General features: G+C 48.3%; 1 protein-coding gene across 2 annotated transcripts, besides 5 other annotated features; it reads right to left on the bottom strand.

The window, feature by feature from the left end:
- Nucleotides 1-103: 103 nt before the first annotated feature.
- Nucleotides 104-27,331, bottom strand: USP18 (ubiquitin specific peptidase 18). 2 transcript variants are annotated; one of them, NM_017414.4, is made up of 11 exons: nucleotides 27,279-27,331; nucleotides 19,681-19,943; nucleotides 17,233-17,329; nucleotides 15,566-15,711; nucleotides 10,167-10,246; nucleotides 9,465-9,611; nucleotides 7,562-7,657; nucleotides 6,581-6,748; nucleotides 4,220-4,351; nucleotides 3,659-3,708; nucleotides 104-729 (listed from the first exon to the last, which is right to left on the bottom strand). In NM_017414.4, the coding sequence occupies exons 2-11, from the start codon at nucleotides 19,835-19,837 to the stop codon at nucleotides 684-686; spliced, it is 1,119 nt and encodes a 372-aa protein (NP_059110.2). In that variant the 5' UTR covers nucleotides 19,838-19,943; nucleotides 27,279-27,331; the 3' UTR covers nucleotides 104-683. The 2 variants fall into 2 exon arrangements, with proteins under 2 accessions (NP_059110.2, XP_006724137.1); XM_006724074.4 differs by lacking the exon at nucleotides 27,279-27,331 and having other exon boundaries at nucleotides 19,642-19,728.
- Nucleotides 11,115-11,803: an enhancer, noted in NCBI's record as "OCT4-NANOG-H3K27ac hESC enhancer chr22:18648465-18649153 (GRCh37/hg19 assembly coordinates)". NCBI's record gives its function as "activates a minimal SCP1, AML or CMV promoter by ChIP-STARR-seq in naive H9 embryonic stem cells {active_cell/tissue: H9 hESC(naive)}" and the evidence as "EXISTENCE:reporter gene assay evidence [ECO:0000049][PMID:30033119]".
- Nucleotides 11,804-12,493: an enhancer, noted in NCBI's record as "OCT4-NANOG-H3K27ac-H3K4me1 hESC enhancer chr22:18647775-18648464 (GRCh37/hg19 assembly coordinates)". NCBI's record gives its function as "activates a minimal SCP1, AML or CMV promoter by ChIP-STARR-seq in naive H9 embryonic stem cells {active_cell/tissue: H9 hESC(naive)}" and the evidence as "EXISTENCE:reporter gene assay evidence [ECO:0000049][PMID:30033119]".
- Nucleotides 21,678-22,179: an enhancer, noted in NCBI's record as "H3K27ac-H3K4me1 hESC enhancer chr22:18638089-18638590 (GRCh37/hg19 assembly coordinates)". NCBI's record gives its function as "activates a minimal SCP1, AML or CMV promoter by ChIP-STARR-seq in primed H9 embryonic stem cells {active_cell/tissue: H9 hESC(primed)}" and the evidence as "EXISTENCE:reporter gene assay evidence [ECO:0000049][PMID:30033119]".
- Nucleotides 24,662-24,911: an enhancer, noted in NCBI's record as "active region_18654". NCBI's record gives its function as "activates an Ori minimal core promoter by ATAC-STARR-seq in GM12878 lymphoblastoid cells {active_cell/tissue: GM12878}" and the evidence as "EXISTENCE:reporter gene assay evidence [ECO:0000049][PMID:35858748]".
- Nucleotides 27,271-27,590: an enhancer, noted in NCBI's record as "active region_18653". NCBI's record gives its function as "activates an Ori minimal core promoter by ATAC-STARR-seq in GM12878 lymphoblastoid cells {active_cell/tissue: GM12878}" and the evidence as "EXISTENCE:reporter gene assay evidence [ECO:0000049][PMID:35858748]".

Here is a 27,903-nt window from a genome sequence, read left to right as displayed (position 1 = left end):
AGCCTGGAGGCTCCTCCCAGGGCCCCACAACAGAAGTGACTTCCCTTGCCTTTGAATTTCTATAGCACAATCCCTACTGCCCCCCGTTAAAACTGCAAAGTCCTTTTGTGGAAAATAACTTTATTCATGACTGTGTTTATCACACTATCTTATGGAGAAGAGATGATCAATAAATATTTGCTGAATAAATGAATAGCAGTTACAAAACACTTGATTCATATGGAATTAATGTTGGTTCTCAAAGTGAAAAATTACAAACAGCACTGATATTCAGCCAGTATACAAGTCTGGTCACAGCAGTTGTATAATACTGAAATACCCCCTGCCACTGACCTTTGGCCCCCAGATGCCTCCCACTGCCACTGCTCTCCCCACTGGGAACCCCTGAAGTTCCCACAGGCTCATAACTAAAGGGCTAATGTCTTGCACAGCAGCGAGCACCCAGGACCGAGCAGCCACATGGCCGGGTCTGCTGGTGAAAGCATCCATTCTGACTGATCAGGACCTGAGGGGCCTCATGGTTACATATTTTGATAATATCCCTAATTATAAATAAGGCTCAGTTATATAGTTTGAAAACAATGCTTCTCCTCATTGCAAAATCTCTTAGAAGACTCCGTAGATCCAGGAACGGAAATGGAAAATGACAGCGTGTCAATCTCTGAAGGTTTTGGGCATTTCCATTAGCACTCCATCTTCATGTAAACCAGAAGATATGCAGTTTCCTGCCTAGAGAGAAGAGAAGACACATCAGCACAGCGGCATGAAACCTTCATCAGAAAACAATGCTTCATTAATCCGTGACAGGACAAGCGTCAGCAAACTTCCAGGCGGCTGGATTAGGCCTTCATCTATCCATCACCTTGGAGAGGAACAAAATAGGTGGCCTGGGAAGATAAGCACTATGTTTCTATTAGTTAATATCTAAAGCGGAGGTTAACAAGCTATGGACACACAAGCCAAACCCAGCCCTCTTGGGGTTTTTTAAATCTACTTTCAACTTTTATTTTAGATTCAGCGGGCACATGTGCAGGTTTGTCACGTGGATATGAGCATACTCCCCAACAGTTGGCCTTTCACCCCTCCCCTCCCTCCCCATCCAGCAGTTCCCAGTTGTTGCCATCTTTAAGTCAATGAGTCCCCATGTTTAGCTCCCATTTATAAGAGAGAACATGCATTATGTTTTGTTTGGTTTTTGCTGGTTTTTTTTTTTTTTTTTTTAATGGAGTCTTGCCCTGTAGCCCAGGCTAGAGTGCAGTGGCACAATCTTGGCTCACTGCAACCTCCGCCTCCCAGGTTCAAACGATTCTCCCTCCTCAGCCTCCCGAGTGGCTGGGACTACAGGCGCCCGCCACCACGCCCGGCTAACTTTTTGTATTTTTAGTAGAGACAGGGTTTCACCGTGTTAGCCAGGATGGTCTCAATCTCCTGACCTCATGATCTGCCCACCTCAGTCTCCCAAAGTGCAGGGATTACAGGCGTGAGCCACCGTGCCCAGCCTTTTGTTTATTTTTTGACGAGACCGTTCTTGCTCTGTCACCAGGCTGGAGTGCACTGGCACAATAATAGCTCACCACAGCCTCGTGCTCCTGGGCTCAACTGACCCTCCTGCCTCAGTTTTAGCTTCCTGAGTAGCTAGGACTATGGATGTGTACCACCATGCCTAGCTATAATAATTTTTATTTTTTTGTAGAGATGGAGTCTTGCTTTGTTGCCCAGGCTGGTCTTGAACTCCTGGCTTGAAGTGATCCTCCTGCCTCGGCCTCCCAAATTGCCGGGATTAAAGGTGGGAGATCGCACCCAGTCTCCAACCCTCTTTTTGCAAGTAAATGTAACTGGACCCCAGCCATGCTCATCTGCCCATGTACTGTCTACGGCTGCTTTTGCTCTACAGGGCAGAGTTAAGTGGTTGCAACAGACACCGCACAGACCACAAAGTCTGAAGTACTTTCTCTCCAGCCCTTTACAGAGAAAGTCTGCCAACCTCTGATCTCAATAACAGGGAAATCAATGACAACCACAAAGTGACAAAGATTGGGTGTCTAAGATGGATGTTCAGAATAAACAAGAGAGAAAGATGAAAAGTAGAAGGAGGATTTCAAACGCAAGCTTCACCTAATCCATTATTTTTCAAATGACCAGGCCTATCTCTGTAGCTGAAAATCACCTCAAATAGGATCTCTGATATACAGTCTCCAAAAGCTCAGCTAAGAAACTTACAAAGTCTCTCTGCCTTAACTTCATCCACCTTTTTTCTCTCCAGCTTCTCCTCGGTAGTTAATGATTATAAAAATATTTATTGGCTCATGCCTGTAATCCCAGCACTTTGAGAGGCCGAGGTGGGCGGATCACGAGGTCAGGAGATCGAGACCATCCTGGCTAACACGGTGAAACCCCATCTCTACTAAAAATACAAAAAATTAGCCAGGCGTGGTGGCGGGCGCCTGTAATCCCAGCTACTCAGGAGGCTGAGGCAGGAGAATGGCATGAACCCACGAGGCAGAGCTTGCAATGAGCTGAGATCCTGCTACTGCACTCCAGCCTGGGTGACAGAGCAAGACTCCATCTCAAAACAAACAAACAAACAAACAAAAAAACAGTGTGATGGCCAGGCGCAGTGTTCATGCCTATAATCCAAGCACTTTGGCAGGCTGAAATGGATGGATGGCTTGAGCCCAGCAGTTTGAGACAAGCCTGGCAACATAGCGAGACCTCATCTCTACAAACATTTTTTTAAAATATGCCAAGCATGGTGTACAGACTGTATGCCTGTAGTCCCAGCTATTCAGGAGGCTGAGGTGGGAGGATCACCTGTGCCCAGGAGTTCAAGGCTGCAGTGAGCTATGATCACACCACAGTGCTCCAGCCTGGGCAACAAAGCAAGACTCCATCTCTAAAAATAAAATTAAATTAAAAAAAAGATCTTCGCTGTAAAAGAGGTATGCTCAAATGCAATAAAAGCATATAAGAAGGCCAGGTGTGGTGGCTCATGCCTGTAATCCCAGCACTTTGGGAGGCTGAGGCAGGTGGATCATGAGGTCAAGAGACTGAGACCATCCTGGCCAACATGGTGAAACACCGTCTCTACTAAAAATACAAAAAACAATCAGCTGGGCGTGGTGGCACACACCTGTAGTCCCAGCTACTCAGGAGGCTGAGGCAGGAGAATCGCTTGAACCTGGGAGGAGGAGCCAAGTGTAGTAGCCAAGATTGTGCCACTACACTCCAGCCCGGCAACAGAGCGAGACTCCGTCAAAAAAAAAAAAAGAAAAGAAAAGAAAAGAAAACCATACAAGAAGCCCCTACGAATCTGGGTGAATCAGCAAAGGCTTCACAGGATAGGAAAAGGCCATGAGTATGAAAACATGAGTGGGGAGTTGGCCTAGATGGTAAACGAGGAGAGGACAATACGGCCAGGAAGTGCATGTGCACAGCAGACGGGAGATGGAGGGCACGGCTGATTGGCAGCTACCTGTACTTTAATATTCCTGGAGTGTGACGTGTGAGGCAAACATGGGGTGGTGGGGTGAGTGCTGGAGATGAGGCGGACAGTGAGCCATCAGCATGTTAGTAACAGGGGAATCCATGGGCGTTTCATGCAGCTCCAAGGACCCTATGTGAGCTCATCAGACTCCAATTACCCAAATCTGTTTCTTACCAGTGGTAGTTAGGATTTCCGTAGGTACACTGGATGTCTTCCCAGGACACCTGGAAGCCAGAAACAAATGGGGTCAAGCAGCCAGCTGACACAAGCACCCACAGAGGACAGGATGCTATAATGTGCCCCTCATCCTCCAGACAAGCCCACCCCTAGCAACTCCCAAGAGCCTGGAGCAACAGCAGCAGGATGTCTTGTGCAATGAAGTATGTTTAGTGCCCTTGTCCCTGTGTTTAAACTTGGTCATGCTTATCCCAGAGGCCTAACTTACATATTTCTAACACTCGTTGCTCTCTAGACATTTCCCACAAAGCAGGAAGCTGCAGAGCATGAGCCTAGAGCACCAAAAACTTAGAAGTGAAGTGAATTGAACCCTTACAGAGGTGCAAACCACATGGGGACTTCAGACCGAAAAAGGCTTGAACCCTCATCAAAGGCCCCACACCCAGACAGCAGGATCACAGTGTGTCTTGATCTCAGAGACCCACGCAGCCCTGAGCCCAGCATTTGCTAGAGGTGGCCAATCCAGGGCAGGAGGCAATTGTGGATGATGTTTCTTACCAAGCAAATATTGGAGTCATTGAAGCAGAACCATTTTCCATCCACAGCATTCCGGATGTAGACACAGTAATGACCGGAGTCTGCCATTCCCACGTGCGCAATCACAGCAAAAAGCTCATACTGCCCTCCAGACTGGAAAGAGACAGGCACGAGACAGTTCACCCACCACCACAAACACGACTGCCTCACACATTTATACCTGCCCACACTAGGCCCGACTCTGGGACTTTAGAATATTAGAAAACAGTCCCGACCCACAGCCAGTGGGCACCCTCCAGGAGGGGCTTTCCCGAGTGTGGATCCTGAACTGCGAAGGCTCAGCAGCTTGGCAGGGCAGAGCACGCAAGAGATGGAAGGCAGGTCATGAGAGAGGCCCCCAAAGCCAAGGCAAGATTAGAACTTTCCCCTGGGAGGGGTGGGGATCATCAGAACACAGTTCTGTTTCTCCACAAGCCCAGGAATGACCCTAACCTGAGCCACCGTACCCAGCCAAAAAAGTCTTTTGTAGGGGGAGGGGAGACAGAGGGCAAGGGCGGCAGACGCAAAGCTGAGTCACCCACAGTGGAGGCTGAAATTATCCCTATTTCCATTTGCAGACTTTGTGCAGAACTTTACAAAATGCAGGGCAATATCTGTATCTAAATATTAGTTTACAAGAAATAAAAGGGTTACAGGAACATGTTAAAAGATATCAACCAGCCAGTGCTGGCATATGAAAAAAATATTCAACCAAATCAACTGCAAGGAAAAGAAAAGGAGCGGAAATCTAAAAGGAACTCAAGAAAAGAAAGAAACTTAACCAAATGCAAGTGTAGGCGTTGTTTGGATCTAGAGTCAAACAAACCACATAGATTACACAACAGTCAGGAAGTCTGAACGTTGACCAGATATTTGATGCTATTAAGGAATTGCAAGATGGAGATGATTATCTTTTGAGTGCTTATTCTTTAGGGATACATAATGAAGTGTTTATAAATGAAATAGTATGATGTCTGGGATTTGCTTCAAAAAAATCCAGTACAGGGTTGGGTGAAACAAGAGGGTGGGTTATAGGAAAAGCAAGACCTGCCATGAGTTTTGGTAACTGTTACAGCCAAGGATTCACTGTCTAACTCTTCCTTCACTACACACTTTGGTATCTATTTGTAATGTTCCATAACAAAGTCTTTTTTGTTGTTGTTGCAAAGATGGAGTCTTGCTTTGTTGTCCAGCTGGGCTCGACTCCTGGACTCCAGCAATCCTCTTGGCCTCCCAAAGAGCTGAGATTACAGGCGTGACCCACTGCATCCAGTCAAAAAAGTCTTTTTTAAGTGAAAAACAATTTTAAATACACTTCATTGGGCAGAATCTGCAGGTAGAAATAAAAAGAACTAGAAGGAAAGAAAAAGAGAATCCTATGAAATGTATACGGCCTAAGTAGGTAAAGAAATCATGTTATAATAGGAGCTATTGTAACATATTATCAGGTCTTAATTTTCTAAATGTCATGGTTCTAGAGCATAAATAGCCAAACAGACCAATAAAACAGAAGAGACACTCCAAAAATAGACCCGTACATACAGGAATACAAAATTTGTTATGTAGCATTTCAAATCTATGGAAAAAAAGATATTTGTGTCTTTTTTTTTTAGTTTTTCTTGTTTTGTTTTTAGAGACGGGGTCTTGCGCTGTTGCCCAGGCTGGAGTACAATGATAGATCATAGCTCACTGCAGCCTCAAACTCCTGGGCTCAAGTGATCCTCCAACTCAGCCTCCCAAGTAGCTGGGACTAAAGGTTTGTGCTACCACACCCAGCTAATTTTTTTTTTTTTTTTTGAGAGACGGGGGTCTCATTATGTTGCTGAAGCTGGTCTCGAACTCCTGGGCTCAAGCAATCCTCCTGCCTCAGCCTTTTGAGGTGTGGGATCACAGGCATGAGCCACATCACCTGGCCTTGTGTCTCTTTTTTTCTCAGAATCTCTTGATAAGTTATTATCTCAGGACAAGTGAATTAAACTTTACTCTGATTAAATGTGGTCCAGTCAACTGGCTACTTTATGATTATCCTCAAAGTGGGCACAGGCCATCTGAGGAAGAAAGTTTGGTTGGTACTATGAACCCACAATGACATGTTTGCCTATGCATTTCTATGTATTCCACATTATTTCCAAAGAAGCCTACTGAATTCTGGATTCTGTCCCTCAGTGCTGTGAGGCATATGAACACAAATCCAATATTTAGAAAGAAGAAAGGCTTTTGAGGCTGGGGACAGTCTCTGAGGAACAGGTGGCTCCTAGCAGACTGGGGGTGAAGGAAGGGAAAACAGAAAGGACATGGCATCTGGGGAGAGGCAGGATGGCAAGGAGGTCGGGATCATCCCACCTGCTCCTCAGCATCACAAGACTCTCGCTTCATTGGAAGGATCTGGCTGAAATCCAAGCTCTGGGGGAAGTACAGGGAGTGGCAGATCTTTCTCGTCTGTGAATTCCTGATGGAGAATCGCATGAGGTGGATTGTCAGGGTCTGGGGCAAATGGGTCAGCTTCAAGACCTGAAAAATCAAAATCACTCTGGAGATGAAGTCTACTTGGAATGAGAGAGTCAGAGAAATGTCAGGGCTAGCAACGCGTTCTTCCCAAAAAGAGGGGAGCGGGGCGACATCACGGAGTTCAAGGCTCCTGTTCGCCGAATCTGCTGAGCTCCTCTGAGAATAATGCAAAACTTGGCTATTCTACCACCATGTGGCCCCCCACAAGAGGCACAAGGGCACAGGGCTCTGCACAGGTACCAGGACCCAGGGAGCCACCGCGTCTGCTCCAGGGAGCTGGTCTCGCCTGGAGGGAAACGCCCTGCCGGCTGCTCTCAGGCGCCCTCCTGCAGTCCCTCTCAGTGATGCGACATGAGAAGCCACATCCACGGCTCCAGATATCAGAACCACAGCGTCCCAGATACTAGCCAGACCCAGATTCCCTTTCTCACCCACCATGGGGTGTCCTCGGGGCCTCTGATGATTCTATCAGGAAATCCACGGGGGGCAACCCCAGACTAGTGAAGGACAGATGACCCCTGAACAGCACGGGTTTGGACTGTATGGGTCCGCTTATACACAAATTGTTGTAAATAAATACAGTCTGCCCTCCCCCATAGGCACGAGTTCCACATCTGCAACCAAATGCTCATCAAAAATAAAGTATCCCAGATGCACAACCGCATAGATGAGGGACTGACTTTTCCTATACGTGGGTTCCACAGGGCCGACTGGGTGTGACTTGAGTGTGTGTGGATTTTGGTAAAAGCAGGGGTCCTGGAACAAATCCCCCATATGCACCGAGGGACAGCTGAGTCTGATTTAGGGAATGAGTACCTGTTTCCCACGGGTCTTCTTCCCACAGTTCTCACAGAAGCACTTGCTTTTGCTTGATAACTCCCTGGGCTGGAAGAAGCAGTGCAGGGCGTCCTCCTGTCCCACCCAAGAGAACAGGGAAAAAGCAGCGTTGGTATTTCCCACCTAGAATACTATATTCATCTGTTCTCACACTGCTGTGAGACAATAGCTGAGACTGGGTAATTTATAAGAAAAGAAGTTTGATTGGCCCATGGTTCTGCAGGCCAACCGGAAGCATGGCAGCATCTGCTTCTAGGGAGGCCGCAGGAAGCTCCCAATCATGGCGGAAGGCCAAGCAGGAGCAGGTGTCTTACCTGGGAGGAGCAGGTGTCTTACCTGGGAGGAGCAGGTGCAAGAGACCAAGTGGGGAGCTGGAGTGCAGGGGCGCGATCTCAGTTCACCGCAATCTCCGCCTCCCGGGTTCAAGCGATTCTCCTGCCTCAGCCTCCTAAGTAGCTGGGACTACAGGCTGCGCCACCACGCCCAGCTAATTTTTTTATGTTTTTAGTAGAGACAGGGTTTTACCATGTTGGCCAGGCTGGTCTCAAACTCCTGACCTCAGGTGATCCACCCACCTCAGCCTCCCAAAGTGCTGGGATTATGGGCGTGAGTTACCACACCCAGCCTGGCTCCACACTTTTAAACAACCAGATCTCATGAGAGCTCACTGTCACAAAGACAGCACCACGGGGGATGGTGCCAAACCATTCACGAGAAACCCTCCCCCATGATCCAATGTCCTTCCACCAGGCTTTACCTCCAACACTGGGGATTACAATTGAACAGGAGATTTTTGGGCAGGGACACAGTCCCAAACTGTATCAGTTACAGCCTCCCCACACTTTGCAGCTGAGGGTTTCAGCTTTTCTTCTGGTTCTCCTCATATCCCCCTTAATGCCTGGCCTGGTGTGGTCCACTTGGCAGGATCTCAAAGGGCACCTACTGACTGGAGGAACAAAACAGGAGGGGGCTCCTATTAAGGGAGCAGTATGAGGGAAGTGGAGGTAGGAGGGAAAAACATTTTTGCCAAACAAAGGAGAAATTGGCCAGTGCCATGAAAATGAAATAAGTGACTTTCCAGAAGCCAGAGATAGATCAAAGAGGCAAGGGGGAATTGGCCACACTGTGCTGTGTGGTGTAATGGTTTGAGGGTTTGTCCTCCCCAAAACCCAGGTTGAAACTGAATCCCCAGTGTGGCTGTATGGAAAGGTGGGGACTTTGAGAGATAATTGGGGAGGGCAAGGTGGCTCATGCCTGTAATCCCAGGGAGGCTGAGGCAGGTGGATCATGAAGTCAGGAGTTTCAGACCAGCCTGGCCAACATGGTGAAACCCCATCTCTACTAAAAATACAGAAATTAGCTGGGCATGGTGGTGGGCACCTGTAATCCCAGCTACTTGGGAGGCTGAGGCAGGAGAATCACTTAACACCAGAGGCGGAGGTTGCAGTGAGCTGAGATTGTGCCACTGCACTTCAGTCTGGGCAACAGAGGAAGACTCTGTCTCCAAAAAAAAGGGGGGGGGGAGGTTATTGCATCATGAGGGCACAGCCCTCATAAATGAATTAATCCACTCATGGATTAATGGGTTAATCGGTTATCCTGGGAGTGGGACTGGTGGCTTCATACGAAGAGGAAGAGAGATTTGAGCTGGCACATTAGCATGCTCAGCCCCCTCGCCATGTGATGCCCTGCACTGCCTCGCCTCAGGACTCTGAGAGTTCCCACCAGCAAGCAGGCCCTCACCAGGTGCAGCCCCTCAACCTTGACTTCCCAGCCTCCAGAACTGTAAGAAATAAATTACCTAGTCTCAGATATTGAGTTATAACAACAGAAAATGGACTAACACATACAGGGGCAGCAAATACCAAGAGAATCCCCTTACCAGTGTCTTCAGGGGCTTTGAGTCCACATCAAAAAGAGAAAGTGGGAGGGTGAGCATGCTGCTGTTTCTGCTACTCTCCATGGCACAGTCAACGCAAATCAAGGAGTCCTTCACCCGGATCGTATACAGGGCCTGCAGTCTCTCCACCTGCAAGAGGGAGAGCGGAGAGGTGAGATGGGAACACCACCATAAGCCAGGTCAGGCCAACTGCCAGAAGGTGGAGCCAAGAGACAGAAGCTCCTCACAAAGGTGCAAAATAATACCAGTAACAATATTATGAAACTGTGATAAGTGTTTTATGTGGATTAACTCTTTTTTCTTTTTTTTTTTTTTTTTTTTGAGACAGAGTCTCGCTCTGTCACCCAGGCTGGAGTGCAGTGGCGCGATCTCGGCTCACTGCAAGCTCCGCTTCCCGGGTTCACGCCATTCTCCCGCCTCAGCCTCCCGAGTAGCTGGGACTACAGGCTCCCGCCACCACGCCCAGCTAATTTTTTGGTATTTTTAGTAGAGACAGGGTTTCACTGTGTTAGCCAGGATGGTCTCGATCTCCTGACCTCGTGATCCGCCTGCCTCAGCCTCCCAAAGTGCTGGGATTACAGGGGATTAACTCTTTTATTCCTCTACACACTACGGGAACAACAGCTGAATGAGTGAAATGAGCAGCATCTTAAGCTTCCGAGTGCTCTGGTTCTAGGTTCTTACCAAGTGCACATCAGTGATCTGGTCCTTAATCAGGTTCCAGAGTTTGAGGTACAGTTGGGCAGCATCATGTTGGACAAACACTGGCCACAGAGAAAAGGAACAGCCAATTAGTGAGGTCTTCAGAGTCGCTTCTCATGCCCTGGTACTTAGACACACATGAACACTCATCACTTTGTCTCTTCCTAGCCCTCCACCCCACTGCAAGGCTAAGTTGGCACGACAGAAGAAGTGATCAATAAATGAACAGTAAGTTTGGTATTGATTTTTGAGAACGCCTCTTAAAACTTAAGCTCCAGTGCCAGATGTAGTGGCTCATGCCTATAATCTTAACACTTCGGGAGGCCAAGGTGGGAGGATCGCTTGAACTCAGGAGTTTGAGACCAGCCTGGGCAACATAGCAAGACTCCGTCTCGATAAAAAATTTAAAAAAGTACTTGAGAGTAGCGGTGCACGCCTGTAGTCAGAGCTACTTGGGAGGCTGAAGCAGGAGGATCACTGGAGCCCAGGATGTTGAGGCTACAGTGAGCTGTGATGTCACCACTGCACTCAGCCTGGGGAATGAGATGTCCACAGGGACTTTGAAAAGCACTGATACATTCCTGAGGATCTAGAAGGCCAGGCGCATGCCCAAGTAAGACCTGAGAGGGCTCAGATCCCTCCCCTCTGGCTGACAACAAGGCCACATGCAAGAAAGCAATGAAGGCGAATACAGAATCATGAACTGCCCAGAAACGATAAAACAGCAACAACAACAAACCCTGCTGTGGGGATCTCTGATGTCCAGTGTTGCCACCTTACATTATCTAAAATGTTCATTTTCCAACAAAAGAGACAAGACCTACAATGAAACAGAAAAGCATGGCCACCCAGGAAAACAGCAATCGTAGAACCTTTCACTGAGAAGCCCTAGATGTTGGCGTTACTAAACAAAGACTTTAGCCGTTATAATATGTTCAAAGAACTAAAGAAAACCATGTCAAAAGATGTAAAAGAAAGTGTGAAAATGCTGCCTCACCAAATAAAAAGTATCAATAAAGAAAAAACTATAAAAGAAGAACCAAGCAGAAATCTTGAGTTGAGGAGAACCATAACTGAAATGAAAAATGTACTAGAGGAGGTCAATAGCAGATTAGAGCTGGCAAAAGAAAGAATCCATAAACCTGGAGCTAGGTTGATTGAGGTTCTCCAGACTGAGGACGGAAGGAAAGCTGAACACAGTACCTATGCAGCGAAAAGCTGAGGAGCTGCTCACTGCGTGTAGAGCTCAACTAACTCTGATACAAAAAAAAATGTGATACAAAAGGTTTTATACACAAATGTGAATTTATTCTGAAGCCAGCCTGGGGCAAGGAGCAAGACACATCCTGCCTTTTAATGTGCCATTTCTCCTTTGGAGGAGAGAGGGGCATTTTCATAAGGTGTGTTGTGGGGGTGGGGGGAGTGAGCAATGGCGGTTTTCTACCGGGCAGTTATCAAGTTCCCAGCAGCTGAGTTGGCGCCTTTCCGGGCAGAAAAGTGGCCGAGTGGGCATGCTTTCTCCATGCCTTCCTAGTGGGTGAAAGACAAACCCCTAGAGGGTGGAAGTTTCGAAGCCACCCCCTGGCAGGGAGAGTTCCCTGGTGGGTATGCTTTGGGCTGCAAATCTACTGCCAAGTCTCAGGAAAGATCAGCTGGAAGAACTTGCCCGTTCTCAATCAAACCTCCATCAGCCTACCTCCATTTACAGATTCTTCCTTTTGCCCAGCAGGGAATGTCTGGAGAGGGGTAGGCGAAAGGTGATATTTGCATTTCTAAAGGGCTAACAGGAAACAGGAAACACGGCCGCGGTGAGGGGTGAGGGATGGGAAGAGGAGAAGTGAAAAGAAAGTAATAAGAAAACTAATATAACTATCTCTTAGAAAATGGGAGTACTCAGTTACACCCAGATGGGTTCACTAGTGAACGATGGGTTCTACCAAACATTTATGGGAAAAATTATACCAATTCCCTACAACCTCTTCCAGAGGACAAAAGCAGAGAGAACACTTCCTAACTCATTCTCTGAGGCCAGCATTATCCTAACACCAAAACCAGACAGACATTGTAAGAAAAAAACCTAAAAACCAGTATCTCCCGTGAACATAAATGCAAAATTCCTCAACAAAATATTAGTGAATCAAATTCAACTATGTATAAAAAGAATCACAGAGGGTGACACAAGCGAGATGGTAGAGAAGGAGGCTCCTGGTGCTCCCCTTCTCCCATGGACACACGGTAAAACTCTCATCTACACACAGATCAACTCCCTCTGAAAGAAACCCAGAAACCAGCTGAGAGAGGCCTGCACAGGGGGCAATGGGGAGAACACCCACATCGCAACCGGTTGGAAAAGCTGAGACACACTCGCACCACAAGCCCCACCCCAGACACAGTACCTTACTGTGAGGAAGGAATCCCTACTCCCAGCTTTCTCCTGGAGAGGGGAGGGTTTGGACCACACATAGGCAGCCCCAGCTTTTGCAGTTCCCACTCAAGGGCTTGGCTGCTGGGTCACCTAGCTCTGGGAGCAGACATGGGTCAGCAGTTATGAATCCTCTGCGACCACAGAGGGCAAAGAGGCAGTTTTAAACGGGCACGTGAGCACTTCCAGCAGCTGTGCTCAGCACAGAGCAAACAGGCAGAAATGCCAGGCTTCCAGTTTCTCCCTGGAAGGATATGTCTGCGGGCTCTCCTAGCTGTTGCCCGAGGGATGGGCTTCTATTAATAACTGGCCTGCACCTGGAGCCAATGAGGCAGGTAAACAATAGATTTCCAGGAGTCTGGACAGGCCTGTGGGCAAGTCCCATGCCTTCTCCCACCCCCTGCTGTATGGTAAAATCAGGTCTCTAACTTCACACATTGAGTACACATTTACCCCTCTCAAATGAAGGTCTAGCTCCTCGACCACCGAGCTTTGGGAGCTGACAAGGCTCTGTATTTGTAAGTCCCACAGGGGCACAGAGACCAAAGAACATCCCCCCAGGCCCAGTGCAGCGTGAACAGGCAAAAAGGCCCGGCTCCTACTTTCTCCCTAGAAGGAGTTTGTCTGCACAGTGCAGCTGCTGCCCTGGGGTTTCTATGCATCTGGGAGCTGACAGAGCAGGAAACCAGTGCTCCTCTGAGACCCTGAACAGGCAGGTGAGCACCTCCACAGCTGCTCCCACTGGTTTGCTCAACAGATAGCGTCAAGCTTCCAACTAACCTGTCCGTCTCTAAGCAGAGAGCAGCCAGCATTCGCTAGGCCCCTGGGGGTGACAAAGAGTAAAACAATGCGTGAAGGAGTGTGCAGTTTCAATATGAGTGCAGGCACTTGCCACAGATCCTCTGTCCAGCGTTTTGCAGAGCAAGTGGCGGATTAACTCATGCTCCCAGCTTTTCCCTGAGGATAGAATAAACTGGAACACACATTTAATGCCCCAACGTCTCCACCTGCACCTCAAGGGGCTGGTTTCTATCTCCCCTGTCTAGGGCACTGACAGGACTTGACACATTCTAATCTCCTGAGGGCCGCTAACAACATAGATGACAGTCTGGACAACACAAAGGGTCAACAGGTGCTCCGAGTGTCCGGCAGGGCTAATTGGTAAGTTCGTCTCTTATACAAGGCCCGTGGGACAAGACTGGGAGAGGTATTTTTCTTTTTTTCTTTTTTCTTTTTTTTTTTCTTTTTTTCTGAGACAGAGTCTTGCTCTGTGGCCCAGGCTGGAGTGCAGTGGCGCAATCTCGGCTCACTGCAAGCTCCGCCTCCCGGGTTCACGCCATTCTCCTTCCTCAGCCTCCCGAGTAGCTGGGACTACAGGCGCCCGCCACCACGCCCAGCTAATTTTTTGTATTTTTAGTAGAGACAGGGTTTCACCGTGTTAGCCAGGATGGTCTCCATCGCCTGACCTCATGATCTGCCCACCTCGGCCTCCCAAAGTGCTGGGATTACAGGCGTGAGCCACCGCGCCCAGCCTGGGAGAGGTATTTTTCTTAACTAAAGTACAGAAAATAACAGAGAATCAAGAACAATGAAGAAACAGAGAAATATGTTCCAAGCAAAAGAACAAGATAAATCTCCAGAAAATGCCCCTGGTGAAATGAAGATAAGTGACTTACCTTACAGACAATTCAGAATAATGATCATGAAGATGCTTACCATGTCTAGGACAGCAATGCATGAACAAAGTAAGAATTTCAGCAAAGAGACAGAAAAAAGTTCAAAAGAAATAACAGAGCTGAAGAATACAATAACTGCAATAAGAGCTCAAAAGAGAAGCTCAACAGACTAAATCAAGCAGAAGAAAGGATTAGCAAACTAGAAGATAGGTCACTGGAAATCATTCAGAGGAGCAAAAATGAAAAAGAATGAAAAAGAGTGAAGATATCTTAAGAGAGTTAGGGGACATCAAGCCGACCAAAATAGGCATTATCAGAGTCCCAGAAGGAGGAGAGTGAGAAGAGATGGAAAGCTTATCCAAAGAAATAACAGTCACGAGTTGCAGATCAACATTTCAGTCAATGGCAGACCACATGAGCACAGTGGCCATAGCATGCAGCCTAGCTGTGTAGTAGGCTGTCCCATCTAAATTTGTGTAAGTGCACTCCATGATGTCCACACAATGACAAATTCACCTTCTGATGCATTTTCAGAACGTATCCCTGTTGGTAAGCAACGCATACCTATAATGACTGAAAACTTCCCAACCCAGGGAAGGAAATACAAATCCACATCCAGGAAGCCCAAAGGACACCAATAAGACTGATCTAAAGCAACCCACATCAAGACACATCATAATCAATTTCAAAAGTTAAAGACAAAGAATTCTGAAAGCAGCAAGAGAAAAGCAATGTATTATACACAAGGGAAAACCCGTAAGTGTAGGATTTCTTCTGGGGGTGATGAAAATGTTATGAAATTAGATTGTGATGATGGAGGCACAACTCTGTGAATACACTACAAACCTTTGAATTGTATGTTTTTAAATGGATGAATTTTACAGTATGTGATGCACAACCCAATATAGCTATCTAAAAAAAAAAAAAAAAACCTAACCTATTTGTGAATTATTTTGTAGAACATGTTTTCTCTTTTTTATTCCTTTATTCTGTTTTCCTGCAGTTCCCTGACTGTGGTGGAATAAGCTTGGAGGAGATGCCTTCACTTACTCTACTGAGAGGCAGAGAAAGGTTAGGTATGGAAGTAAAATGTCCATAAATAATATCAATTCTGCACCTCCAAAGATGTGTGCCTCTTACACAAATGTCTCTATAATCTGAGGGGTCCAGGCTACCTAACTTGCTTCTTGTTGCTTCACTGCCCGTTAGTTCCTCTCTTCACTCTCTAAGCTTCCCATCCCCTTTGGATCAGCAGCCAGGAGCCCAGTGGGAGGGTATCTTACAGGGCACGTTGCACTTCTGCAGGCAGTAGGCCAGCTCCAGGGGCCGCACTGCTTTCTGCCGGCTGTCCTGCATCTTCTCCAGCAGCAGAAGCATCTGGAAAGGGACGCTTCTCCTCTGCTCGTCAGCTCCCCTGGGCACCGTGATCCTGCCACACAAGAACAGCCAGAAACCTCCTTACATGTAGTTCTCAAAGCTAGGTGCACACTGGAATCACCTGGGAGAAATTTTAAATCTTCATATCCAGGCCACTCCCATACAAATTAAACCAGAATTCTGGGTCCGGGGGGCGGGGCGCGGGCAGTTATCAGAATTTTTCAGTTCCTCAGATTATTTCAATGTGTGGTCAAGGTTGAGAAGCACCATGTGAGTGAATCTGCTCTACAGGGGACCCTCTAGAGAGGGGGATCAGCATGACTGCTGCCTTGGCCCCTCTGCACCCTGCCCAGCAATCGTGCTAGAGCAGACGGCAGATGCACGAGGTCCTGGCTCCACATCTCGGGCAAGCAGCAAAATGTCCAGCCTAAAGCTCTCCAGACTGCAGAGGCACATGCTGGGTTAGGTCCTGGGAAGAAAGGCAACATGAAAGGCTGTCCGTGTGGTTTGGCAATGATTCATTTAATCACAGGCATTTTTCGGATGGGAAAAAGGAGAGAGCACAGGGCAGAAAAGGAGTGATAGAGAGAGACAGAGGGAGAGAGTGCATTGTGTGAGTGTTGGTGGAAGGAGGGGTGTGTACTCCCCACTGACTTACTCCTTCTCCGACTTTGGTCTAGTCCCAACTCTGTCTTTTAACCAAGTCAGTGGCTGTCAATCCTGGCCGCATTTAAAATCACCCAAAGAGGGCTTTAAAAAAGTACCAATACCTGGCCGGGCGCAGTGGCTCATGCCTGTAATCCCAGAACTTTGGGAAGCTGAGGTGGGCAAATCACCTGAGGTCAGGAAATTGAGACCAGCCTGGCCAACATGGTGAAAACTCATATCTACTAAACATACAAAAATTAGCCAGGTGTGGTGGCGGGCGCCTGTAATCCCAGCTACTTGAGAGGCTGAGGCAGGAGAATCCCTTGAACCCGGGAGGCGGAGGTTCCAGTGAGCCGAGATTGCACCGTCGCACTCCAGCCTGGGGACAGAGTGAGGCTTCATCTCAAAAAAAAAAAAAAAAAAAAAGTACCAATACTTGGGTCGCACCCCAGACCAACCTAAGAAGTTTTAGAAATAATGTGTAGGCCAGAATATGCAGAAGCCAATCTTTCCTCTGCCAGCTTTTGAGAGAAGATCTCAAAAAGTCCAAGTCACTGTGAATAACTGAATATATTAAAAATGAAATAATACAGGCCAGGTGCAGTGGCTTACGCCTATAATTCCAGCACTTTGGGAAGCTGAGGTGGGTGGATCACGAGGTCAGGAGATCGAGACCTTCCTGGCTAACACGGTGAAACCCCGTCTCTACTAAAAATACAAAAAAAATTAGCCAGGCATGGTGGCGGGCTAGTCCCAGCTACTCGGGAGACTGAAGCAGGAGAATCGCTTGAACCCGGGAGGCAGAACTTGCAGTGAGCCAAGATCATGCCACTGCACTCCAGCCTGGGCAACAGAGCAAGACTCCATCTCAAAAAAAGGAAAAAGAAATAATACAAATGCTCATCAGCCTGAAGAACAGTCTTACCTCTTCAATATCCTGGTGAAGTCCACATTCATTACGAACACCTGAATCAAGGAGTTAAGGCAGCAGGTCTGTCCAATGTTGTGTAAACCAACCAGGCCTATAAGGGGAAGAGAAAAAAATGCTGAGGGCAAGGCCTAGGGTAAAGAAGTTGACAAGGCTGGGCATGGTGGCTCATGCCTGTAATTCCAGTACTTTGGGAGGCCGAGGTGGGCGGATCACCTGAGGTCGGGAGTTCGAGACCAGCCTGGCCAACATGGTAAAACCATGTCTCTACAAAAAAAATCCAAAAATCAGCCGGGTGCGGTGGCTCACGCCTGTAATCCCAGTACTTTGGGAGGCCGAGGCGGGCAGATCACGAGGTCAGGAGATCGAGACCATCCTGGCTAACACGGTGAAACCCCGTCTCTACTAAAAATGCAAAAAAAATTAGCCGGGCGTGGTGGTGGGCGCCTGTAGTCCCAGCTACTCAGGAGGCTGAGGCAGGAGAATGGTGTGAACCCAGGAGGCGGAGCTTGCAGTGAGCCAAGATCACGCCACTGCACTCCAGCCTGGGCAACAGAGCGAGACTCCATCTCAAAAAAAAAAAAAAAAAAAAATCCAAAAATCAGCCAGGTGTCATGACAGGTGCCTGTAGTCCCAGCTCCTTGGGAGGCTGAGGCAGGAGAATTGCTTGAACCCAGGAGGCAGAGGTTGCAGTGAGCCAAGATCATGCCACTGCACTCCAGCCTGGGCAACAAGAGTGGAATTCTGTCTCAAAAAAAAAAAAAAAGTTGACAAAAATCTAATGTTTTTCTTAAAGCTACTAAGGACATGAAGTCCTGTAAAGTCTCTCAAGTACGAAGTGTTCATTCAGCTTGCAAACAAATCGGAGAGAAGATATCAAACATGAATCTTTAAAAAGCTCTATCACAAGGGCCAAGCACAGTGGCTCACACCTGTAATCCCAGCACTTTGGGAGGCCGAGGCGGGAAGACCACCTGAGGTCAGGAGTTCAATACCAGCCTGGCCTACATGGTAAAACCTCATATTTACTAAAAATACAAAAATTAGCCGGGTGTGGTGGTGCATGCCTGTAATCCCAGCTACTCGGGAGGCTGAGGAAGGAGAACTGCTTGAACCTGGCAGGCAGATGTTGCAGTGAGCCAAGATCGTGCCACTGCACTCCAGCCTAGGCGACAAAGCAAAACTCCATCTCACACACACACACACAAAAAGTTCGATAACAAGAAAAGTTTTAATATAGTCCATTAGGAAAAGTGAGATGTCACCAAAAGTATATATTACTCACTGCCAAATGAGTAGTATGAGCAATTGTTGGGAGAGAAAAAAAAACATTAGAGAAAGCATAACTGAGAATATGGCTTCCTTTCATTCAAATCGTTCTCCACGGAGCTAAGTCCAAATGTGCATCTGTGGGGCTCAGGGATAAGAGGGACTCCCCAGTATGTCTATGTTGGAGTCCAGCGGAGAGGTCTCTGCCCAGTTCCCACTACAGGGAGGCAGGAAATAAATCAGAAGGTTACTTTGGGGAAGATTCACCTAATCCAGTGTCACCCTGAGAGGCTGAAAGGCAGAAGGAACTTATAAGAATACGAGAAAAACAAAAGATAACATTTGTCTGACCCCTAGCAACCAACCTCCTCTTTTCCAACCCAACCTTAGGCTCAGCAGACCCCACAAGGGAAGTACCACTAATCTCAGGATTCTTGGGGAAAGGGCTTTGGCTTACAAGATAGGACAGTAAGAAAGTAACAACCTGGGGTCACAGGTGAGCACAGATTTCTACTCCCAGACTATCAGGAGCACATTGCTTCCAGACAGACCCATACAAAGGTAGCAGTAAAGATGGGAACTAATGCTAAGTGCCTCTAGAATCCCAGCACTGGCTTAAAGCAGTTTCCACAGATGACCCCATTTAATCCTCCCAACAACCCTATGTGCTTGGTACTATTATTACCCCCATTTGTTTGTTTGTTTGTTTGAGACAGAGTCTCACTCTGTCACCCAGGCTGGAGTGCAGTGGCGTGATCTCAGCTCACTGCAACCTCTGCCGCCCAGGTTCAAGCAATTCTCCTGCCTCAGCCACCTAAGTAGCTGGGATTACAGGCACCTGCCACTGCGCCCAGCTAATTTTTGTATTTTTAGTAGAGACGGGGTTTCACCATTTTGGCCAGGCTGGTCTTAAACTCCCGACCTCATGATCCACTTGCCACGGCCTCCCAAACTGCTGGGATTACAGGCATGAGCCACCGCGCCCGACCTTGTTTTTGTTTTTTACAGATAGGGTTTCACTATGGCCCAGGCTGTATCCCCATCTAAAAGATGCAGAAACTCAGGCACAGGAAAGCATGAGCCGTCGAATACAAAGCTCTGCGGCTTCAGAGCGGAGGGGGTGAGCCGAACATTTACATGCAGTCAAGAAGAGGAAAACGGGAGGGGTCTAATGACCATGAGGGTAGTCCCAGGCCCTGGGACGCTCTCTGGGCTGCTCTCTCTTCATGTTGCTGTCTTCTTCCTTCTTTTCTTCAAGATCTGCCGGGGACTGCGAGGACTCAGCCAGGATGGACTGACAGATTTGCCTCAGGAGCCCAAACGCCTTGCTCATTCGTGATCACTCCAAAACCCCCAGGCCGCAGCTGCCTGGCCCGCGTTCAGGACAGCACGACTTCACTTCCAGGAAGCGCTTATGTGAGCCAGGCACGATGGAATCTCTGTGAAAATACAATGCGGGTAGGCAAGAATTAGAGAAGGAGGAATGTGTATTCATGTAATCCGTTCTGATGCCAAAGAGCAGGTCTTAGAGGGAGATAAATGTTTGGGGAGACTGACTCATAGAGCTCTAGGCTGGAAATGACAGCTAGGCTACACATCCCCTAACCTGGGTCCCAGGCGTTTCCATTCATCCTCAGAGCCGACTGCCAAATCCTAACCGGGAGCGCCCTCTTGGGAAAGGACAGGGAAGCGCGCATAGGACTTTGCTTTACAACCCAGGACCAGGCCCACTTCAGTAAAAAGCCAGCACTAAGCAAGAACTCTCAGCCCCTGATGCCAGGCTGGCATACAGGGGAAGCCTCTCAACCCGCCCAACACCCAAGGGGACCTGCGGCCCTGGCAGAACAGCCTCGTGTTCTGGCCCGCAACACTGCCGGCCAGCTGCAGCAGTCAGATAAACCTTAGCTGCAGGCAGGCTGTAGCTACCTGTCGGCCTTAGGCACATCCTGGTGCTGGGCTGGTCTCATGGCATGAATTCTGGGGGTGTGACTCAATATTGTCTCAGCCTCAGTGGCCATAGGGGTACCCGTGTACCCTCCCCCAACCCAGCACAGCTGTGTGAAGAGAGACACTGTTTGCTTGGGGGAAGAAGAGGTAAGTGGAGTACTTCGCCTTGGAACCCAGTGTGTCCGGAATTGGTGGGTGCTTGGTCTCACTGACTTCAAGAATGAAGCCGTGGACCCTCGCAGTGAGTGTTACAGTTCTTAAAGGGGGCATGTCCGCAGTTTATTCCTTCTGATGTTCGGATGTGTTCGGAGTTTCTTCCTTCTGGTGGGTTTGTGGTCTCGCTAGCTCAGGAGTGAAGCTGCAGACCTTCGCGGTGAGTGTTACAGCTCCTAATACGGCGCATCTGGAGATGTCCGTTCCTCCCGGTGGGTTCGTGGTGTCGCTGGCTTCAGGAGCGAAGCTGCGGACCTTCACGGTGAGTGTTACAGCTCTTAAGGCAGCGCGTCTGGAGTTGTTAGTCCCTCCTGGTTGGTTTGTGGTCTTGCTGGCTTCAGGAGTGAAGCTACAGACCTTCGCGGTGAGTGTTACAGTTCATAAAGGCAGTGTGGACCCAAAGAGTGAGCAGTAGCAAGACTTACTGCAAAGAATGAAACAACAAAGCTTCCACAGCATGGAAGGAAACCTGACCAGGTTGCCACTGCTGGCTCGGGCAGCCTGCTTTTATTCTCTTATCTGGCCCCACCCACATCCTGCTGATTGGTCCATTTTATAGACAGCCAATTGGTCTGTTTTACAGAGAGCTGATTGGTCCGTTTTGACAGGGTGCTGATGGGTGTGTTTACAATCCCTGAGCTAGACACAAAACGTCTCCACGTCCCCACTAGATTAGCTAGATACAGAGTGTGGACACAAAGGTTCTCCAAGTCCCCACCAGAGTAGCTAGATTCAGAGGGTCGACTGGTGCATTCACAAACCCTGAGCTAGACACAGGGTGCTGATTGGTGTGTTTACAAACCTTGAGCTAGATACAGAGTGCCGATTGGTATATTTACAATCCCTTAGCTAGACATAAAGATTCTCCAAGTCCCCACCAGACTCAGGAGCCCAGCTGGCTTCACCCAGTGGATCCCACACCTGGGCCGCAGGTGGAGCTGCCTGCCAGTCCCGCGCCGTGCGCCCGCACTCCTCAGCCCTTGGGTGGTCGGTGGGACTCGGCGGCGTGGAGCCGGGAGCGGCGCTGGTCGGGGAGGCTTGGTCCGCACAGGAGCCCATGGCTGCGGGGTGGGGAGGCTCAGGCATGGCGGGCTACAGGTCCCGAGCCCTGCCCTGCCAGGAGGCAGCTAAGGCCCGGCGAGAAATCGAGCACAGCAGCTGCTGGCCCAAGTGCTAAGCCCCTTACTGCCTGGGGCTTGCAGGCCGGCCGGCTGGCCGCTCCGAGTGCGGGCCCGCCGAGCCCACGCCCACTCGGAACTCGCGCTGGCCCACAAGCACCGCGTGCAGCCCCAGTTCCCGCCCCTGCCTCTCCCTCCACACCTCCCCGCAAGCTAAGGGAGCCCACTCCAGCCTCGGCCAGCCCAGGAAGGGGCTCCCACAGTGCAGCGGTGGGCTGAAGGGCTCCTCAAGCGTGGCCAGAGTGGGCGCCAAGGCCGAGGAGGCACCGAGAGCGAGCGAGGGCTGTGATGGCTGCCAGCACGCTGTCACCTGTCACCAGGACTAGGCTCACTACAGTAAAACCCAGTACTGGGCAGAGCCTCATCACCCTGATACTAGACCAGTACCCACAGGCAGATCTCACCCCACCCTAGTGCCAGATGAGAACCCACAGCCCCAGTAACAGGGACTGGCGATCTGGCCCACATCACTACCTGACAACTACAGTGGCCCTGGGCCCTGAATAACTTCAGCAGCAGCAAGCACGCCATCACAGCTGTGGGTCTTGGGCGTGCCCCAGTGCTGTGCCAGTCTCGGCAGCTATGGCCTTCAGGCATAACCCAGGGCTGTGTCAGCCTCAGTGGCCAAAGAATTCCAACCACAGTGATGCTGGGCTTAGAGCACCCCCCAGCACTACAACAGCTGAAGCAGTCATGGGCTTAGGGTCCTGACCAATCAGCCTCTCCCTAATCTCCTATGGGTTTCCTGATGAAAGACGAGCCCAAACAAAGCCAGGCAATGAAGACTGGCTTAGGTACCTATGTCAATGCACAGACATTGACACACAGCCATAAGGATCAAGGTCAATCAGAGAAACATGACATCACCAAATGAACAAATTAAGGTGCCAGTGACTAACCCTAAAGATATAGAGATGAGGCCTGGCATGGTGGCTCAGGCCTGTAATCCCAGCAGTTTGGGAGGCTGAGGTGGGAGGATCACTTGAGCCCAGGAGTTCAAGACTAGCCCGGGCAACATACTGAGACCCCATCTCTAAAAAAAAATTTAGATGGTCATAGTGGTGCACGCCTGTGGCCCCAAATACTGAGAAGGGTGAAGGAGGAGGATCACTTGAGGCCAGGAGTTTGAGGCTGCACTGAACTATGATTGTGCCACTACACTCCAGCCTGGGCAACAAATGAGACCTTGTATCTAAATAAATAAATAAGATGAAATAAAATAATAATAATGGGTAACATCGAAGCACTATTTCTTATAAAAGGTGAAAGCCTTTTATATGTACTGTCTTATTTATCCTTACACAGCCATGTGAATTAATTACTGTTATATTTCCATTTGACAGATGAGAAAACTGAGATACAAAGAAGTAAGTGCCTTTCCCACTGGCAAGTGATGGGCCAGATGTAGACAAGCTGGACGGGGTTTAAGTCCAGCTAACATGCTGCTCAGAGTGAGGAATAAACTCAACCAAATCATTGGTGGGAATGTAAATTAGTAGAGCCATTATGGAAAACAGTATGGAGATTCCTTAAAAACCTAAAAATAGATATACCACATGATCTAGTAATGCCACTGCTGAATATATATCCAAAGGAAAGGGAATCAGTATGTTGAAGAGATATTTGCACTCTCATGTTTACTGCAGCACTGCTCATAATACCCGAGATACGGAATCAACCTAAGTGTCTATCAAAAGAGGAATGGATAAAGAACATGTGGACTATATACACAAAATGGGATGTTATTCAGCCATTACAAGAGAATGAAATCCTGTAATTCCCATCAACATGGATGAGCCTGGAGTACATTACGTTAAGTGGAATAACCTAGGCACAGAAAGATAAATACCACATGTTCACACTCATATGTGAAAGCTCAAAAAGCTTATCTCCTAGAAATAGAGAATAGAAAGCCAGGCATGGCAGTTCACACCTGCAATCCCAGCACTTTGGTTGGCTGAGGCAAGAGGATAGCTTGAAGCCAGGAGTTCAAGACCAGTCTAGGCAACATAGCATGTTGCCTAAATAAAATAAAAAATATTTTATTTTCTAAAAATAAAAATAAAATTAGCCTAGCATGGTGGCATGTACTTGTGGTCCCAGCTACTTGGGAGACTGAGGCAGGAGAATCAGTTGAGCCCAGGAATTTGAGGCCACAGTGAGTTATGATCGTGCCACGGCACTCCAGCCTGGGCAACAGGGCAAGACCCTGTCTCCTTTTTTTTTTTTGAGATGGAATTTCACTCTTTTTACCCAGGCTGGAGTGCAGTGGTACAATCTCAGCTCACTGCAACCTCTGCCTCCCGAGTTCAAGCACTTCCCCTGCCTTAGTGTCCCAAATAGTTGGAACTACAGGCATGTGCCACCACGCATGGCTAATTTTTGTATTTTTAGTAGAGACGGGGTTTCACCATGTTGGCCAGGCTGGTCTTGAACTCCTGACCTCAGGTGATCCACCCATCTCGGCCTCCCAAAGTGCTGGGATTACAGGCATGAGCCACCGCGCCCAGCCTGGAATATATTCTTAAATTCATGTTGGATGGCTCAGATAACAACAACCTCTTTTTCTTAGTAAATATTGACTTTCAATAGTTATAAACAGTTGTTCTTCTTACAAGGCCCAGCCTAGGAGGACTCAACTGAAATGATGACAGCAGACAATTCCATCAGCAAGAAAGAGGATTTTGAGCTCATCATTGAGGGAAAGCTGATGAAAGAGAGCAGAGAGGTTCCAGGCTGCATTTTCCAAGATGTTGTCCTCTTCTCCGCCAAGACCTCCCAGATACTTCAGTAGGATATAGCAGTAAAACCTCATGGAGCAGATCATTTGAGCAGGCTCGGTCCCAAAGGGAAACAAAATACAGCAGCCTTTCAGGGTAGATCACACTGGGGAGACAGGGAGGCGGGGCAGCAAGGAAAGGAAAGTGAAGCTTAAAAGGTCTAAGGAGGATGGGGAGGGCAAGGCGAGCAGAGAGACCGCAGCTGAAGTTAGCAGGGGCAATAAGCATCCACCAGAGAAAACAGCCTGGGCGGATTCCAAGGAAGGGGATTTTCAAACTCAACTGCTGACTCAAAAAAAGACCCCCAGGCCAGGCGCGGGGTCTTTGTTTGAGACTCTGTCTCAAACAAAACAAAACAAAAATCCCAAATACTAAACTAACTTAGCTCCCACCCTACCTGAATTTTTTTTTTTTTTTTTGGTTCACGTTCTCTCATGATCTTCCCGAAATGTTATCCTTAAGCTTCGGGGAGAGGTGAGCAACGGAAGGAACTGGCCCAGGCCCACCACTAAAGAAGCCCCAGGACCAATCGGGGTCCTCAGAGAAGCCCCAGAAGAGCCAGGAACAAGCTGCAGAAAACCTGGGGAGGGTGGGGCCTCCACCCAATACTCCACTCACAACTGGACTCTCTGCCAGGAAAGCCAACTCCAACATTTAGATGCCCTAAAAGGAACAAAATTAACCTGCCAGGAACATGATTCAAGCAGCCTCGGTGTCTTCCGACCCACCCCATCATGGCAACCACAATTGTAGACCGCAGTCTCGATGACGTGTTCACATTATTTTGCATTTCTTTTTTCTTTTTTTATTTTTATTTTTATTTTTGAGACGGAGTCTCCCTCTGTCGCCCAGGCTGGAGTGCAGTGGCCGGATCTTGGCTCACTGCAAGCTCCGCCTCCCAGGTTCACGCCATTCTCCTGCCTCAGCCTCCCGAGTAGTTGGGACTACAGGCGCCTGCCGCCACGCCCAGCTAATATTTTTTATTTTTAGTAGATGGGTTTGCACCGTGTTAGCTAGGATGGTCTTGATCTCCTGACCTCGTGATCCACCTGCCTCGGCCTCCCAAATTGCTGGGATTACAGGCGTGAGCCACCGCGCCCGGCCTATTTTGCATTTCTTGAGTAATCGTAATATGCGGGTTAGAACACACGGATTACAACACTTTGGATGAAAAACCACATAATAGGGAAATTTTGGGACTACTCTCTCTCAAAAAAAAAAACAGCTCGTGGAAAAACTAGGACTTACCTTCTTTGAAACTATGTTTATGTTAAGCATTTTCCCCTTTGTAAGCTCATCATTGTGTAAAAGTGTCAGAACTGTGCAACACATTTTTTAACAGTCCAAAAGCAAGTTCTTTGATAAATCAATATGAAGCCGTGCACCTGTGTTACTCTCCCTCCCGTTTTGTTCCTGCGAACACATCGGTAACCTGCATTCACTCTCCATCCAACTCTGTTCAATACCAGAAAGAAACTTCAGATGAAATGCTTTTCAGTATTTGCCTTGTTTTCTGGAACAACTTTAAAGTACAAATTATACCTAAATAAGTACAAATTAAAGCCTCTGCTTTAATTTTCAAACACTTTGAACCCAGATTTTCAGGGGTCTCAAAATGGAGTTTTGTGTTTAAAAGTCTAAATTTAGCTTTCTTCCAAGGAAAAGGGTGTGAAGAAGAGAGGTTAAGACTAAAATACTCTGATTTGCAGAGTTTGACAACATCCTTCCAATTTCTCAATATGAATGCCCACTGACCCAGCCATTCCACTTCTAGGAATTTTCCACCGATATATTTGTATGAATGTATACATAAAATTATATTCATTGCCGTATCTGTGCCAGTAAAAACTGGAAACAACCTAAATCTCCATGCATTGTTTAAACAATGTACTTCCCATACCATGTATCAGGTTTTTTTGTTTGTTTGTTTGAGACAGTTTCGCTCTGTCGCCCAGGCTGGAGTGCAACGGTGCGATCTCGGCTCACCGCAACCTCCGCTCCCGGGTTCAAGCGATTCTCCTGCCTCAGCCTCCCGAGTAGCTGGGATTACAGGCATGCGCCACCACGCCAGGCTAATTTTGTATTTTTAGTAGAGACGGGGTTTCTCCATGTCTGTAACTCCTGACCTCAGGTGATCCTCCCTCCTCGATCTCCCAAAGTGCTGGGATTACAGGCGTGAGCCACCGTACCCGGCCGAATCAGTTTTTTGTTTTATTTTTAATGCCATTAACACATCTATATGTCCTGCCATGAAAAGATGTCCATAATATACTCAGTGGACAAAGCAAGTTCGAAATGATTTTAAAGACTTGTACATAGAAACATTTCTGATAAGGTACAAACAAAAATGATACTGAGTGGAAGACTGCGAGACACATTTGTCTGCATTGTTTGAATTTTTTTACAAGCTTACAACACTTCTGCAATTTCTTTTTTTGTTTTAATTAAACACAAAGTCATGTCAAAAGTCCAAATAACTATATTAGCTTAGAAAAAAATTCACTGGCCCAAAATATATGCACGTAGTAAATACAGATCACTATCATAATTTGCAGAGCACAATTATTACTTAATTCCTTAATTATCTGACTGGCATAGGAGCAGAGTTGGATGTCTGTGCTAGAAAGAAAACTTCCAAAATGAGCCCCGAACTTGCCTCAAGCGCCATGCAAGCGTCCAGCCTCCGCTGCTGAGTTCCACGTCGGGACTGAGCCGGGGACCGAGCTGGGACCGAAGTTCCGCTCCGGGCCCGCCTTGGTCTGGCCCCGCGCTCGTGGCACCCCGCCCAGCTTTCGTTTTCCACTGAATGGAAAGCGAAACTTACAGCGGCCTCCGCGCCGGGAGCTGGGCGCCAGCGTGCGGGGAAACCCTGCCGGCCCGAGCTTCCCGCGGCTGCCGTTGCAGCCGCGCACCTGCTCCAGACTTCCAGCCCTCGCTTTTTTTTTTTTTTTTTTTTTTTGAGACGGAGTCTCATTCTGTCGTCCAGGCTGGAGTGCGGTTGCGCTGTCTCGGTTCACTGCAAACTCCGCCTCCTGGGTTCAAGCGATTCTCCTGCCTCAGGCTCCGGAGTAGCTGGGATTACAGGCATGCGCCACCACTCCTGGCTAATTTTTGTATTTTAGTAGCGATGGGGTTCCGCCATGCTGGCCAGGCTGGTCTCAGGTGATCCGCCCGCCTCCTAAAGTGCTGGGATTACAGGTGTGGGCCACCGCGCCCGACCTACAGGCGCCTTTTTATTTGCGATTTTAAGGTCCTTGCAATTAGCCTACGTGTTAGAGTCA

Source organism: Homo sapiens, chromosome 22 (genome assembly GCF_000001405.40).
Source record: "Homo sapiens chromosome 22, GRCh38.p14 Primary Assembly".
Taxonomy (NCBI): Eukaryota; Metazoa; Chordata; class Mammalia; order Primates; family Hominidae; genus Homo; species Homo sapiens.
This window is presented reverse-complemented; position numbering and strand designations above follow the sequence as displayed.